General features: G+C 42.9%; 1 protein-coding gene across 14 annotated transcripts in view; it reads right to left on the bottom strand.

The window, feature by feature from the left end:
• NAT1 (N-acetyltransferase 1) overlaps nt 1-17818 on the bottom strand; it is a 53223-nt gene that overhangs the window by 3333 nt on the left and 32072 nt on the right. The window contains exons 3-8 of one of the 14 annotated variants that reach the window (XM_047422397.1): nt 10402-10576; nt 10177-10265; nt 9015-9164; nt 7583-7966; nt 3363-3480; nt 868-946 (exon numbers count right to left, since the gene is read on the bottom strand). In XM_047422397.1, the coding sequence (XP_047278353.1) occupies nt 868-946; nt 3363-3463 (180 nt within the window). In that variant the 5' untranslated portion in view covers nt 3464-3480; nt 7583-7966; nt 9015-9164; nt 10177-10265; nt 10402-10576. The other 13 variants (XM_047422398.1, NM_001160170.4, NM_001160172.4 and 10 more) reach the window with 13 other exon arrangements.

Genomic DNA, 17818 nt, shown 5'->3' with positions numbered 1-17818 from the left:
CCCTTCTCATAACATTTCTTCTATATTCTCCTATTTTTCCTTTCTGACCCAGCTATCCTCCCCATATTGCCAGTTTCCAACTTTCTCTGTTCTTGGTGTCTACAACATCATTTCTCCAAATCTATTAGATTGCATTTCTTCTCATCCTAACTTCCACCAGCACCCTTTCGTAACATTTGGTCAAGCTCTAAAGTTCTACCACTCAGAGAGAGAACAAGATGTATTTAGTCAGACAATGCCAACCCCTCTCTGCCCCCTCACCTAGAATTTGTACTGAGTATGTAAAGAAGAGAGAGAAGCCGATCTAAAAGGACGAAGGCGGTTTATACATACCTGGATATTTGATTCTTGCTTAGAATATCATTCCTTCTTTTAAGAAATTACTTTATATCTCTTTTATTTGGTTTAACTTGTTTACAAGCATTTGTTTTCCTCTTTTTCTTTTTTTGCCTCTTGTACCCTCTCTGTTCCCCTCCCTCCACCCTTCCCCTCCTTTTCTGTTTTTAAGATAAAGTGTTGATTTGGAATTCAGCAACTGCAAGTCCATTTGAAAGAAGTCAGTTTTGTTAGAGGCCTGGATAGAGCAATATGTTGTAACCAAATCACACGTGAACATTCTGTGGCTGAACATAAGAAATTGTGCATTATTAACGTTGTGCTTCAAGGTGGAATGCTGAAAGCACTTGGAAAGTAGTTGCCAGAGAAGAGCTCACTGAAAACATTATTAGCTTTATATATCCACTTGTAGAATCTCTGTGCAGTGATACATCCCTCCCTTTCATCTTGATCATAAATATAAGACTTAAAGGAGGCAGAGTGAACGTGCTTAGGAAGCCCACTGAGAGCTCTCAGAAAGGCGCTTAATACCTTTCTTAGTAAGTTGAAAGTAGGTTGATCTTCAGTTTTAATCCAGAAGACAGATTGCTGCTTCTTCCTGGCTTGAATTCTAGAAATAAGAGAAAAGACAGTCAGAAATATATAACATGACTTCCTTGAAAACAAAATAATAGTTTTGTAGACCGTAAATTATGAAGATTTCCTAAAAATCACAAAACAGAGGGAATGGACTGCACAGTAAAGTGAACATTTGAGTTGTATAAGTGTGTGGAAACTACAACTATGGAGATGGGTGCAACGCTGATGGGGTACAGCCTTCTGGCTTAAAAACCTGGAAGCTGTGGAAGCCACCAGCAGCGGGGCTTCCACAGCCTCCCGAGGCAACCCACCAGCTGATGAACTGTCATGAGATCAGCAAGGAAGGGTGAACCAAGTTCCATGCCCCCAGTCACTACCATGACATATACCAAACACATCAAAGACCAGGATGTAGTGCTAGCACCTGGTCTTCCTCTAGGTACAGCTATAATTCGGCATGTTGAGGCAGATAAACAAGGTAAGGCCCTTAATGTATGATGCTACTCAAAAGAAACAAGGACCATCTATATACAGAAGATCCGCTATCAGAGCATCTCTTGTCATAGCCACCTCCCCTCACCTCCACTAAAGAAAACTGAGGAGTCTGTGAAAGGAAATTAAATTGTGGGACCCCCGAAACTCATTTAGCCAAAGGGAAAAGTCAAGCTAGTAAGTGGGTCATGCAAACCTGCCTCCCCCTTTTTGGTTCCTGAATAAGATGGCTACAAGATGAAAAGCCACATGCCTCCCCCATATTTTGCCCACAAGTTAACTCCTAGTGAGCTGTTAAAACTTCACCATGACAAACAAATTGGGAGACATTAATATAATAATAAATCATGAGCTTACAACTGCCTTAATTGTCACAGACACAACTATATCTCTGATAAATCCCACCTGATTTAGAAAGCCCATTCCTCAGAGTAATGAAAGAATTAACATGGTGGCTGCGTCTAATAAAATGATCTCACGTTTTAAGTCCAAACCTATACCTTACAATTCCATCGGGTTCAGCTCCCCCGCCGCAAGCTCTAATTGTGTGTGACATGCTCCGTAGGTACCATATGTTTCTTATATGCCCTGGGGCCCCTGTCAATCTTTTGAGCTGTGATCTCCTCAACATCCATAATGCCCATATCTTTTTTTCATCAAAACGTGAACTTTTTTTAGAATTGGGGCCAGGAGACCAAGAATACCGAATTACAAAATGTCCTGACAACGTACCACAATTTAGTACTAGTAGTGTTGAAACATCGTCTTGTGGCCGGGAATATGAAATAGAGACACAGAAGGAAATAATAGAGGAGAAGAGAAAACACTGGAATAAAGAGCAGGAAACGGTAAAACTCCTTTTAGCTTCCCCAGTCTTCCTGTTAACACCAGAAGAGGAACGCTTGCTCAAGGATGTCTCCTCCCACTTACGGTCTCAGTCAATACAGATATAGGGAAAATATTCTCAGCCACTCCAATAAAGGTAGAGATAAATCCAAAGAAACCCCTGCCTAGCCTTAAACAATACACTCTATAGCAGGAAGCCGCAAATGGAATTGCCCCTATTATACAAGACTATCTAAAAAGGGGCTCATTATTCCCTGCACCAGCCCCTGCAACAGCCCTATGTTCCCTGTAAAGAAACAAAGCAGGAGAAAATGGAGATTTGTGCAGGACTTGAGGGCAATAAACAATATTGTAATACCCAGGCACCCAGTAGTCCCCAACCCACATGCCGTTTTATCAGCTATACTCACTACCAGCCAGTATTTCTCAGTTGTGAATCTCTGCGGTGCCTTTTTCAGTATTCCTGTAGATCCAGACAGCCATATTTGTTTGCTTTTACTTGGAAAGAATGGCAATATATGTGGGCTGTCATGCCCCAAGGGTATACAGAAAGTCCCACTTACTTTTCCCAAATACTAAAAGCTGATTTAGTGGATTTAATTTTTCCCCAGGGCTCAACACTCGTTCAGTATGTGGATGACCTTCTCCTTTGTCCAGGCACAGCATCTTCCTCCCAGGAAGATAGTCTACATTTACTCAGCCAGCAAGGGACGCAAAGCGTCTGAAGACAAACTTCAGCTGTGCTTACCGGAAGTTAAGTATTTGGGGCATATTATCTTGGTCAAAGGACTGAGTATTAACCCTGATAATGTGAGAGAAATTTTAGCTTTCCCAATGCCCATCACTAAGAAACAACTTAGAGGATTTCGGGGACTGGCAGGCTGTTGTAGAAACTGGATACCAAATTTCTCCTTTGTGGCTCACCCTCCATATGCATACCTAAAAAATGAACAACCTGATCTCATCATGGGGACTCCAGAGGGAAAACCAGTTATATAACAAATAAAGGAAATTCTCACTAATTCCCCAGACTCACAGCACCCAATCTACAAGTTGCCTTTCTCCCTTTTTGTATGCGAAACTGGAGGTACTGCATCCAGGGTACTGACCCAGAAACATGGTGATCATCAGAGACCGGTAGGCTATTATAGCCAACAGCTGGACCCTGTGGCTCGAGGGCTGCCTCCTTGTGTAAGAGTAATAACAGCATGGCCCTTCTGTACACGTCTGTTGAAGAAATAATTATGAGTTCTTATGAGTTCCCCCTTACCATTTTTGTGCCACATCCTATTGAGACCCTTCTAAATTCTCATCATACCCAGTATCTGTCTGTCAACTGCTTAGCCTCTTACGAAATTTTGCTTTTATCTTCTCCCAATATTACTATTTCCTGCTCTATCATCTTAATCCAGCCACTCTCTTGCCAGGCCCTTCCAACAAGACCCCTCATGACTGTGTTCTGATGACTGACCAACTTCTCACCCCCAGGACAGACCTATAAGCGATGCCACTGGATAATGCTGAGATAGAATGGTATACAGATGGGTCTTATTGAAGATGAGAAAATGGACATTTTAGAGCAGGATATGCTGTGGTTTCCTTACTAGAGGTAACTGAAGCCAGTCCTCTTCCCCATGCCAGATTGGTTCAAGCAGCCAAATTGATTGCCCTGACTCGAGCTTGTCAAGTGGCAAAAGACAAGGCTGCAAACATTTACACTGACAGCCGCTAAGCTTTTGGGGTTGCTCATAACTTTGGGATGCTATGGAAAGAGAGAGGATATTTAACCTACTCAGGGCAACCCATAGAAAATGGGCAGCAAGTATCAGCGCTGTTAGAAGCTACTCTAAAACCAAAACGTTTGGCAATTATAAAAATCCCAGGTCACTCAAAATTAGACACCACAGAAAGTCAGGGTAACCAACTGGCTGAAACCACAGCTAAAAGAGTAGCATCTGAGCCACCAGGTATGTTATGTAAAATGCAGAGTCCTTGCATTTTTCCTCTGCCCCTTTTGTTTATGTCATCTTATGCAAAAAAAAGCACATTCACTGAGCCAAAGGCCATGAATCACTATTTTCCCTACCCAGCTCTTACATGAAAACGGTGCTTCTCGATATCCCATCCTTTCCCCTTTAAATTTGCAGTCCTTAAAATCATCTTCAGAGAAAGGCATAGACCTGTCTCCCAGGCCCACATCCTTAACTTTGGCAAATAAATCTCCTAAAATGATTGAGACTCGTCTCGTCATTTTCCTCAATTGACAAGTCTACACCAACCCCAGCTGGACATCTCACCAGCCACACCAGATTCAAGCAGCAAATAAAAGGTGGAAACAGAGCTATACATACATGAAAATGATGAGAACTAACAAAATCAAAATACTGTGAGATTGGGATTAGAAGAAAAGACATAACATGCAAAAGTTATATACAAAAAAACCACAACCAATTCAAGAAGAAAAATAAACTGAAAAAAAAAATTGTACAGGTATCTGGGGCTATGGACCATGTGAAATAAACTCAATAAAAAACAGCTAAAAATAAAGTGATAAAATAATAGTTTTATGAAAAGAAAGATTTCATACCTTAGAATACTAATTAAGGACAGAAATGGAACTAATTAATCAACAGAATACATAATGATGAACAGAAAGGAACCATATAGATACAATATCGTATCACATTGCTTATGTGGCAGAAAAGCTTGATATTCCTACTAAAGGCTAATGAAATGATAAAGCAATTAAGATAGAATAAAATAGAACGCAGTCAAGGACAAGCCAATGCAAAGACAATTGGTGCTTCCGAAGTGGAGAATGCAAAAAGTGCAATAGAAAAATGTATGGCACTATTCACAATAGCAAAGACAGAATCAACCTGAATACCCATCAATGACAGATTGGATAAAGAAAATGTGGCACTTATACACCATGGAATACTATGCAGCCACGAAAAAGAACAAGATCATGTCTTCACAATAGCAAAGACACAGAATCAACCTAAATGCCCATCAGTGACAGACTGGATAAAGAAAATGTGGTACTTATACACTATGGAATACTATGCAGCCACTAAAAAGAACAAGATCATGTCTTTCATGGAAACATGGATGGAGCGGGAAGCTATTATCCTTAGCAAACTAACATAGGAGCAGGAAATGAAATAATGCATGTTCCTACTTATAAGTGGGAGCTAAATCATGAGAATTAATTAATACAAAGAAGCAAACAGCACACACTGGGGCCTTTCACAGGTTGGAGGGTGGGAGGAGGGAGAGGATCAGGAAAAATTACTAACGGGTAGTAGGCTTAATACCTGGGTGATAAAATCTGTACAACAAACCCCCATGACACAAGTTTACCTATATAACGAACCTGTACATGTACCCCTGGATTTAAAAGTTAAGAAAAATGTATGTAAAGATAAATATTTTCCTGAAATGATGAAGAAATTGAAGCTAAAAAACAAAAGAGAAAATTCTGGGAAAGTTCGATACAACATGTTTGCCACTGGAATATATTTTTGTTAAATTATTAAAAGTCAAAATTAAAGACAACTACTCAAGCCTCTGGCAGAGAAAGAAAATATTTCATGAAAGAGAAAACATCAGGACAGCAAGAGAATGTTACACAAAAATATCCACTGGTGAAGTAATAGAAGTGTATCTTCAAAGTATTGAAGGGAAAGAGTTTGCTCCAAATATTCTGGCTAGTATTTCACTTGATCATAAAGGCAACATGAATATAAAGGTAATATCAAACATAAAAGAGCTTGAGAAATGCAATAACTGAGCTATCCTGATAGTTTCGGTTTCATGGCCAGTGAACAAGTAGATGAATATGAAAACCAAAAAGTAGAGAGGTCACACTAAAGGAGTGTTGGTGAACACTGACTCCTTCCAATACAGAACAAAGAGTAGAAAAGTTATGAGAGTTATGGCTTTTGAACAAGCCATTTTGGCTTATATGGAGATAGAAATATGACGTTAGGGCCGGGCACGGTTGCTCATGCCTGTAATCCCAGCACTTTGGGAAGCCGAGGCGGGCGGATCACGAGGTCAGGAGATCGAGACCATCCTGGCTAACACGGTGAAACCCTGTCTCTACTAAAAATACAAAAAGTTAGCCAGGCACAATGGCAGGTGCCTGTAGTCCCAGCTACTCAGGAGGCTGAGGCAGGAGAATGGCGTGAACCCAGGAAGCGGAGCTTGCAGTGAGCCGAGATAGTGCCACCGCACCCCGGCCTGGGCGAGAGTGAGACTCCATCTCAAAAAAAAAAAAAAAGAAATATGACGTTAAAAATTTGATCTGAAGATCAAGAAAGACCAGAGTCTAGGAGAGTCCAATCCAGTACTGTCAACACTGGAATTGTTAAAAGATAATTTTTTAGGTATAACATTTTTTAAAGTTTATTAGAACAGATAGCAATTCATGAGCCAGGCAGCACCAGACTACAGGTGGCTCAATGCTCTGCTGAGGAAAGGAGAGGGCAGGAGAGAAACTTTTATAAAATGTTTGCAGGAGTGAGACAAAGAAAAGCTATTTGGTTGGTTAGAGTGAAAAGTCCCTAGTTAGAGGTTAGTTGACAGTTTCTGATTGGTGAAGTCTCTAGTTTTCTACTGTTTACTGGTAAACAGTAAAATGAGTGAAAATGAAACCACAGGAGTCACCCAGTCTGATGGCCCGCCAATGAAAAGATTTTTAACAGAACATATTCTGGTTAAATTATTGAAATGTTAAGGCAAGATGTATCTAGGTATAATAAAATAAGGAGAGGTAGCAGTTGAAGGTAATTGGAGAGTGCATTCCCTGTCTAAAGTTTTTTAGACAAAAAACATTGAAAAAAAAATTTATATACAATGACTCAAATGAGACCCCTTAGACCTATCGGGTCTTGGTGCAATGGCTCACGCCTGTCATCCCAGCGCTTTGGGAGGCCGAGGCGAGTGGATCACTTGAGGTCAGGAGTTCGAGACCAGCCTGGCCAACACGGTGAAACCCCCATCTCTAATAAAAAATTAAAAAAAAAAAAAAGCGAGGTGTGGTGGCACATGCCTATAGTCCCAGCTATTTGAGAGGCTAATGCAGGAGAATCACTTGAACCCGGGAGGTGGAGGTTGCAGGGAGCTGAGATCGTGCCACTGCACTCCAGCCTGAGCAATAGAGTGAGACTCTGTCTGAAAAAAAAAAAAACCCTATTGGTTTCCACCGTAGGTATGGAAGGGCATAAAATAGAGCCTGCTCAGGGTACCTAAGAGGGAAGACGGGGCTGGCTGGCAAGGATTGAGGACTGGGGTTAGCACAGAAAGAATACTTTCAATAACTTACCTGGATCCCTTCAGATCTCTTTTACCATCTCACAGTGCCCCTGGCCTGCCTTCTGTGTTCTTCTACTTTCGGACCTGTACCCTAGACTCTCTTTGGAGGACTCCCAAGGGCTCCTGAAGCTGCTTTGCCCTCCTTTGCAGAGAGCAAGAGGTGCCAGGGATTTATGTCCTGGCAGGGCAGTGCTGGATCAATGACTTAGTAGGAGGTCTGGAAAGCCTAGTGCCCTTGCCTTGAGTCTGGACACACTTTGGAGTTGCAGTTCACATCCAGGCTGCAGCTGGGGCTCTCCCAGCACTTCCTTCAGTCACACACACATGGATTCTTGTCTTGGTGTCTGGTTTGGGGGAACCTGACTTAAGTCACTTTTGTGGACATTTTGGAGAGCTGTGTAAAAGAAAGGTAAGAAAGGAGAGTAGAATGAGGCAACTTCTAGAGGGTCCTGAATGTTGAGCAAAATGCTGGTGTTTTTCTGCAGAGTTCATGAATATTGTTTAGTTGAAGGATCAAGATTCAACAGTTGACCAACTATTGTGATTTATCCCTATGTGACTTGGCACTTCAATAATCACATTCTTGGATTGGTACCCCTGGAGAGCAGGTTGATATGCAGAACTCATTGTTCAATTCCAGGTCTCTAGAATCGATGTGTGTTAAATATACAGCAGTGGTTTTCTTTTTCTTTATTGCTAAAGAAACCTGTATTCTTTCTCTTAAAAAAGTTATAAACAAGAGCCCAACATAGAAGAATTAAAAGCAGTTTAACCCAGAGGTAGTCTGCCTATGAGATAGGGCTGTAAGGCCTTAAGGCTACAATCAGCACAAGTACAATTGTGGACTGAGATAAAATCATCTACGCCTGCTGCATAGATTTCTGGCATTAATGATTAGAAGAATTACAAGGAGAGCCAATGAGTGGCTTTTCTTTCTGTGTTTTTTCTTTTCTTTTCTTTTCTTTTCTTTTCCTATTCCTTCTCTTTTCTTTTGCCTCTACCACCATGAAAGAAGGGCATGGAATCCCACTAAATTGACACTACAACCTAGCCCCCTCCTAAGCCAGCTCACTGGGCCTCTGGATGAAAAGGGGTTGCTGGACTAGCCGCACCCAAAGACCATCATTCAACAGTTGTTCTTGTCCAGAAGGCCACTCACTGCTCCCATTTAATGCCGACTGGGGCCAGGCAGGTGGTGGGGGTTACTTGCACCAGGCCAGAAAAGCAAATCTAAAGAAAAACAGCTGCTACTGCTGAAGACAGCAAGGGCCAGACAAAATAAGTCTCTGGGCAGCGTGCAGGTAGAAAGTTGACAGTTAAAAAGTTCCTTTTGAGGAGGAAGGTGGTGTCACCTGTTTTGTGTTTCAAGCATTCAAGAGCAAACAGTATGTCTGATTTTTTGTTTGTTTGTTTCTTAATTAGGAAAGAGCAAACAAGTATACCATTGTAGTGGGCCTCATGTCAGGGCATGGGAGCAGCATCCAGGGTAGAAAGCCTGTTGGGCCCTCAGCTCCTGGGGCTGTCTGTCTAGGCCAGTCTCCTCTCTTCTGTGGAATTCTGCAAGTCCATGTTCAGGGGGTGATGCTCTCGGTCTGACGGTGAAGGAGTTAAATTTTTTTGTCATTCATACCTCCTGGAGACCCTCTCCAGTAAGTGTCCTTCGGCCATAATAAAACTTCGTCCCTAGTGTGGTGGCTCACGCCTGTAATCCCAGCACTTTGGGAGGCCGAGGCAGGTGGATCACTTGAGGTCAGGAGTTCGAGATGAGCCTAGCCAAGACGGTGAAACCCCATCGCTACTAAAAATACAAAAATTAACCCCATCTCTACTAAAAATAGAAAAATTAGCCAGGCATGGTGGCGGGTGCCTGTAATCACAGCTACTCAGGAGGCTGAGGCAGGAGAATCACTTGAACTCAGGAGGAGGAGGATGCACTAAGCTGAGATCACGCCACTGCACTCCAGCCTGGGCAATGGGGCAAGGCTCTGCCTCAAAAAAACAAAAACTTCCCTCTGGAATTCCCATAGGCATTGCAAACAACAGAATTCAATCTTCCTGGACATCCAGGATCATTAGGGGCTTTTTATCAGCTAGTGCAAGAGGAGCAGGAATTATTACGAGCTTGCTGCCTGTAGGATTAACTGGGTCCTTTGGGACACACACCACTGGGGACAGAGGAGGGTGAGCGTCACTGTTACAAGTAACCAAGAGGGAAATCCTGTTGAGAAAGTTGCCTTAAACACATTAGTTATCTTTTAATACACGTATGTAATCCTCACAACAAGTCCTTTAAGTAAGCAGTACTCGTAGCTCCATTTTACTGAAAAAGAAACTGAGTTTTAGGGAAACTAAGTGACTAGGCCAAGTTCTCACAGCTATAAAGTGGCTGTGACTGTAAACCCAACAGTTTGAATCAAGGACCTGTAACTGTCACCACTAAGCTGTGGAGTAGTGACAGCATTAGCTTCCAAGTATGTGCCAGCCACACTTTCTGAGCAACCTTATACTTGAAATGTAGACATCGTGTAGAACCTACTCTCCTGTACTCACAGTTGAGATAGGATTAAACCCCAATTTCAAAGCCCCTTACAGAGTTCCACTTACCAGGTTATTTCAGCCGGCAACCAGGAACTAGACTGAATGCAATCCTCCCACATCCAAGGTCTATGAGGAAGTGCTCTCACTTCCAAAGTCTGCAGGGGAAGTGCTCTCATTGGATGTCCAACTGGCCCCGCCCCCAGAGTCACATTAGGGTTACCCCAGGGGCCCCTGGGAAATGTAGTTGCAGGGACTCAGGTTGCTCCTGTGGACCCCTTATTCATATCTTACCATAAAAAAGGGTGGAGAGTTGTATTGTCCGATTATCCCCATGCCACCGGCTGGGAGGACTGTGCTCTTATATTTCACCTGGTTCCTGCTCTCTGGGAGCCTGACACTAGATGTCCCATGTGTGATGTGGAACGTGAGAGCTTGGAACAGGTCCAGGAAAAGCAGAACTGGTAACCTAGAGGAGGCAAAAGAGGAAGATGGAAGGCTTTAATCACACTCCAAGTTTATGGTATACTTTCTTCATCAGTTCCCATTAGACTTCTTTTAAAAATTTTTCTTCCCTTCATCCATCATCCTCATTCCCACTGGCCTCTCTACCTGAAGGCACTGGGCAATGTGTCTGAAAGAGCCCCATGTGTGTGGTATGAGGGTGATATATGTCATATGGCTTTGTTTATGCTGGTGTTTTTTATTTACATTCATGGTATTGATCTACAACTCTTGCTGTTTCTTATGCATTTTTCTCTATACAACATAATTTTTGTTTCTTTATTGACCCAATATACATGTTTACAGGGTACAATGTGGTGTTCTTATACATACATACATTGTGTAATGATCAAATCATGATAATTAGCACATCTATCACTTCAAACATTTATCATTTCTTTGTTTTGAGAACATTCCACCAGTGAGTGTTTCCTTGTGCTGTGCCTTCGGCACCTACTGTTCTAGAACATGCCTCTGGCGTCCTGCCACGTGAACTCGGGACTCTATGCGAAGGCTTTCTCTTGGCATGTCCTCAGGCAGGCTAGATAGACTTGAAAACTATGGGTCTGGGACCACTATTCAGCCCAGGATGTTGGGAGTTGGAGGCCACATATCTTTGTGCTGTACCTGGTCAGGTGGAATTACCCTTAGGCTTGTATAACACTGCCTCCTGGTGTTGTCCAGTGGAATTATGCTCCCTTTGTTCACAGGTAGCTTGCCAATGATGCACCCTTTATTGATTGTCAAACTGCCCTGGTCTCACTGTCCCGCGACAACTCCTGCACTGGTACGTCCTTAAATCATCTTCCAAATAATCTACCTGAATGCAAATCTTTGTTTTAGGGTCTGGCGGAAGGCCACTTTAGTTAGGTGGTTGTGAAGTGGACTGGAACTTGGATTCCTCCTGCTGAGGTAGCAGATTTCCCTCTGACCCGGGGCGGGGGTCTAAATGCTCCCTCTGTGGCCTCCAGCCTAGAATCAAGGGCCTTGGAGGCTCTGCCCAGTGCTGTGTTCCACTGCAGTGGGGTCAGCACTAGCCTCCAATGCAAAATCCCACACTAACATTCCTTTTACTTCCTAAGGAGGTAGACTCTGTCTTCACACTGTGCCGCCTGGGCTCGTGAGGATATTTGTTGAACTTGATGTCCCTGCAGGGGAATGAGTACTGGAAGGTTCTATTTGGCCACCTTGTTCCACCCTCTATTTTATTCTTTTTGATGCTATTATGATGGATTGTGTTTTCCTGATTTCTTTTTCAGATAGATCATTACTGGTGTAAAGAAATGCAACTGATTTTTGTATGTTGATTCTGTATCCTGCTACTTTACTGGATTTAACAATTTTTATGACGTGTTTTGAGTTTTCTCTATGTAGGATCACGTCATCGGCAAATAGAAAAAATTTTACTTTTTCCTTTTAGGCTTATTTTTTACTTCCTTTTTTTTTGTTTCTGTTTCTGTTTATTTTAAGCCCTGGGGTACATGTGTAGGATGTGCAGGTTTATTACGTAGGTCAATGTGTGCCATGGTGGTTTGCTGCACCTATCAACCTATCATCTAAGTATTAAGCCCATCATGCATTAGCTATTTTTCCTGATGCGCTCCCTCCCCATACCCCCACCCTCCTCACCCCAACGGGCCCCAGTGTGTCTTGCTCCCCTCCCTATGTCCATGTCTTCTCATTGTTCAGCTCACACTTATGAGTCAGAACGTGCAGTGTTTGGTTTTCTGCTCCTTTGTCAGTTTACTGAGGATAATGGCTTTCAGCTTCATCCGTGTCCCTGCAAAGGACATGATCTGATTCCTTTTTATGGCTGCATAGTATTCCATGGTCTATATGTACCACAGTTTCTTTGTTTAGTCTGCCAATGACAGGCATTTGGGTTGATTCCATGTCTTTGCTATTGTGAATAGTGCTTCAATGAACATATACGTGCATGTATCTTTATAATAGAATGATTTATATTCCTTTGGGTATATACCCAGGAATGGGATTGATGGGTCAAATGGTATTTCTGATTCTAGGACTTTGAGGAATTGCCACACCATCTTCCACAATGATTGAACTAACTTACATTCCCACCAACAGTGGAAAAGCATTCCTATCTCTCTGCAGCCTCACTGGCATCTGTTTTTCTTGATGTTTTAATAACCGCCATTCTGACTGGCAAGAGATGGTATCTCACTGTGGTTTTGACTTGCATTTCTCTAATGATCAGTGATGGTGAGCTCATGGATAGGAAGAATCAATATCGTGAAAATGGCCATACTGCCCAAAGTAATTTATAATTTCTATGCTATTCTCATCAAGCTACCACTGACATACTGACATTCTTCAAAGAATTAGAAAAAAAAACTATTTTAAAATTCATATGGAACCAAAACAAGAGCCTGGATAGCTAAGACAATGCTAAGCAAAAAGAACAAAGCTGGAGGCATCCCACTACCCACCTTCAAATCATACTACAAGGTTACAATAACCAAAACAGCGTGGTACTGATACAAAAACGGACACATAGACCAATGTAACAGAATAGAGAAACTCAAAAATAAGACCACACATCTACAATCATCTAATCTTCAACAAACCTGACAAAAACAAGCAATGGTGAAATAATTCCCTATTTAATAAATGGTGCTGGGAGAACTGGCTAGCCATACACAGAAAAATGAAACTAGACCCCTTCCTTAAGCCTTATACAAAAATTAAGTCAAGATGGATTAAAGACTTAAATATAAAACCCAAAACTATAAAAACCCTAGAAGAAAATCTAGGCAACACTATTCAGGAAATAGACATGGGCAAAGATTTCATGATGAAAACATCAAAAGCAATGGCAACAAAAGCAAAAACTGACAAATGGGGTCTAATTAAACAAAAGAGCTATCTAATATCATGAAAATGGCCATACTGCCCAAAGTAATTTATAATTTCTATAATTTCTAATTAAAGCAAAAGAAACTGTCATCAGAGTGAACAAATAACCTACAGAATGGGAGAAAATTTTTGCAATCTATCCATCAAAGGTCTAATATCCAGCGTCTATAAGGAACTTAAACAAGTTTACCAGAAAAAAACAAGCAACCCCATTAAAAAGTGGGCAAAGGACATGAACAGACACTTCTCAAAAGAAGATATTTATGCGGCCAACACACATGAAAAAAGGGCTTGTGTACTTTTTATTTTTTTCTCGACTAATTGCTCTTGCTCATACATACAGTCCTGTATTCAATAGAAATGGCAAGAGTGCGCATCTTTGCCTTGTGAAGATCTTAGAGGAATAGCATTCAGTTTTTCCCACATTAACAGTAAGAAGTTTTTGAGCGGGGGCAAGATGGCTGACTAGATGCAGCCACGTAAAACAGCTGCCACCAAGGGACCGAGATGACTGGTATACTCCTAGAAGATCTTCAAAGGGAAGGCACTGAAAGTGAACAGAGGGAACACACAGAAGGTGGACTGAGAGGGGGAAACCTGGGAACCCTACATGGGTCTGCTGCATACCTGGTGTTGTCCCTGTGCCCCAGCAGCTCCAGGGGAACAGGTGAGTTGAACTGGTATGGAGCAACTCACTTTCACCACGAGTCTCTGGAACTCCAGCAGAAGGAGACCCTTCAGCCACCATAGACACAAGTTGGCAGGGAGAGCTGCTTAGAGAAGAAATAGGAGGCAGCAAACCAGCCGATGTGGAGCCCAGAGGGTTTGGTCCTGGAGCATCTGTAGCAGAGCAGGGCCAGGGATGGCCATCACCCTAGGCTCCACTTGCTCCCATAGGAGCCTTTAGCCCTTGGAGAACTGTCAGTCCTGAACTCTGCAGGGTGGTCTTGCCCATCAAATAGGGCCAGTCCAACCTGAGCACCCCTCAGTCTGCCGGCCTCTCCCAGGGCCCCAGCCTGGCCACACCTGCTTGCAGCGCCCTGGGAGCTACATCATAGCTTCTGCACTGGCACACTATACCTAACCTGCGAGGAGCTCTAGCATGGCGGCCCCCATGCCTACGCACCAGCCTGCATGCACCCTCTCCACACTGCAGCTTCCCTAGGGCCCAGTGCAACTCCTCACATTGCTTTGCTGGCATGTGTCTGAATGGGCAGATTTTGCTTTCCTTGATCCACCAGCAGGCGAGTATGTGTGCACCGTGCCCTGCCACTGCTGTGGCGGGAGTACAGTCTGCCACTCCTCCCTCCGCAAACCATCACTGCAGATGGAGACTTGGCAGGCACAGAGCCAGCCAGCCCTGCCCCCGCCAGTGCCCCACTCTTGTGCTAACACTGCTGAGGGAGTGAAACTAGGCACAGAGAACAGTGGATCCTCACCTGCCCCGAACAACCACTCCTGTTACAGGGCACAGAGAAGGCACACAGACCTGTGTTGTCTGCCAGCACCCTACCCCCAAGCCAATACCACCACCAGTATGACCATGCACACAATTGCAATCAGGCTTCTCCACCAAGCTCCCACCCCCACAGCTGCATTGCCTCCACCCCTATGATGAAGGGAGGCAGGCACTCTGGCACCTGCTAGCACTCTGCCTCAGCTGACAAGCGTGCAACCTACCATGCTGCCACTACCACTGCTGCTGGCACGTGTGAGCAAGAATGGATCTTGCTGTAACCGCACTATGAAATGCTTTGGCCGACACCACCCATCGGAGTGTAGTGACCAATGGTCCGGGAGTACCTCGACCCCCCTCAACACAGTGGATACCTAAACTCAAGGAGCCAGAGGACAAAGTCAGGGATCAAGGCAAGTCCCCCATAGTTAGAGCATACAGTCCAGAAGTTGGGAGCTGAGCATTGGCCCACTAGAATCTTCTAGAAATGAGGTCAGTCACTTCATTCCACTTTACACCGCAATCAAAACTTCATGGTCATCAAATAGGATAAAAGGATTTCTAAGAGTTAAAACAACATCCTCATATCTGTCTTATAACATTCTTCACCAAAATTACATCTTACTTTTTTTATACACTTTGTATGTAGAATTGATTCTCTTATGGCTATTAGTTTTAATTATGTATATTGACTACCATTTTAACTCTTAGAAATACTAATTTCCAGTGAAAAACATGGGAAGTAATTTTGAACTGTCTATATCTGTATTCGTAGATAAAAATCAAAATTTTTAGAAAGATGTTTCCTCAATTTTTTGTATATTAACAGATTGAAATATATTTTGTTCTGTATCATATTAAAAATAAAATGCCAAAGTATATAAACTTAAACTTATGTTTAATAAGTAATGTTTCAGTTTTTAAAGTTACTTAAATGGTTCAGATATTTCATGATTATCTATTACTTAGTTTAACATAACATGATTTTAAGATTTTAAGTTACTGAAAAGAATTTTGAAACTATGACACACTCCTTACTGACTTCCCTACTCATCCTGGGTCCCAAGTACCCATGTACACCCAAGTGAAGGCTGTATACTCTCTGGGGTATATACCCTGGCGTTCGTTGTGTGTGGAGAAAGAATTCAGGACACAGATACATGTGGGTGAGTTAAGGAGTGGAAAGTTTAATAGACAGAAAAAGGATATGGGAGAGCAGCTCTTTGCGAGAGAGAGAGAGAGAGAGAGAAAGACATCCAAAAAGTCAAGGAGGCAGCGGACTGCAGCCAATTTTATAGGCAGGCAGGAGAAAGTGGTGTCTGATTTACAAAGGGCTCACAAATTGGTTAGATCAGGTATGACGTCTACATAGTGCGTGCGGAAGGCTGGTTGCCCCACCCTAATTTTCTTATGCAAGTGGACTTTCCAGTTGATTGGCACCATCTTGTCTGCTCCTTTACAGTACAGGTGACTGGCAGAGAAGGGAAGATGGAGCCACCATCTTTAACGTGTCTAGCCCATATTTCCTGCCAGCATTCACCTGTGCAAGCTCCCAGCCTGCAGGCTGTTCTTTGTTAGAAAACGATTTGGGGCTGCTTTTCACTAAAAAGGAAATCCTTACCTAGGACTCCCATACCCTTACTATCTGCCTAAGTAATTTCTTCTTAACTCCTATATCACAAGGACGGCTATAAAGGGTAGGGCCCATTTGGGTCTTAAATGTACACACCAATTATAGAGCTCACAATGGAGGACAGAGCTGTGAGGATAATGTCTGTCCCTTCCCAGCATAGCCAGGAGGCACAACTGGGCCAGTGAGAACTCCACAAATGTCCCCAGGCCTCACTGTGGCCATTTGTTTAGAGCCTGAAATCTAATGGCTCCAAGACATAACATAAGCTCACAGAAAAGTCAAAGAAGTATCAAAAATGTCACAGAAGCAACATTTGTGACCTTAAAAATCTAGGAGAGATAGCCTAAACTTATCTTACCAGTAGATCTAGGTGAAAATGCCTCAGTTATATTTAACTCTGATGATTCTGAACACATTTCTATTTTATTTTACCAACAACGTAAAAACTAGTTTTATTTGCCCAAAATTACTAAAGACACATGACATAAAAGGCATCTGAGGTCATTTCTATTTTCCTGACATATTTTATTTCAGCATTTACTTTTTCTTTAAGCCAATTAATTAGAGCTCTTTCATATATTTGGGTAGTGAAATGTACATACATACAAGCGTATAAACATACAGACATATGACAGAAGCAGATCTTATAGTGAGAGCTGGAGCCAGCTGGACATCCTGGGTGGAGTGAGGACTTGGAGAACTTTTGTGTCTAGCTAAAGGATTGTAAATGCACCAATCAGCACTCTGTAAAAGCACACCAATCTCGCTCTGTGTCTAGCTAAAGGATTGTAAACGCACCAATCAGTACTCTGTAAAATCGACCAATCAGTACTCTATAAAATGGACCAATCAGCGCCTCTAAAATGGACCAATCAGCAGGACGTGTGTGGGACCAAATAAGGGAATAACAGCCGGTCACCCAAGCCAGCAGTGGCAACCTGCTGGGGTCCCCTTCCACGCTGTGGAAGCTTTGTTCTTTCACTCTTCACAATAAATCTTGCTGCTCCTCACTCTTTGGGTCCTCACTACCTTTGTAAGCTGTAACACTCACCGCCAGGGTCTGCCGCTTCATTCCTGAAGTCAGCGAGACCACGAACCCACCAGGAGGGACAAACAACTCCGGACGCACCACCTTTAATAGCTGTAACGCTCACTGCGAAGGTCTACAGCTTCACTCCTGAAGTCAGCGAGACCATGAACCCACTGGAAGGAAGAAACTCCAGAGGCCACATCTGAACATC

The sequence above is a fragment of the Homo sapiens genome, chromosome 8 (genome assembly GCF_000001405.40).
Source record: "Homo sapiens chromosome 8, GRCh38.p14 Primary Assembly".
NCBI classification, from domain to species: Eukaryota; Metazoa; Chordata; class Mammalia; order Primates; family Hominidae; genus Homo; species Homo sapiens.
This window is presented reverse-complemented; position numbering and strand designations above follow the sequence as displayed.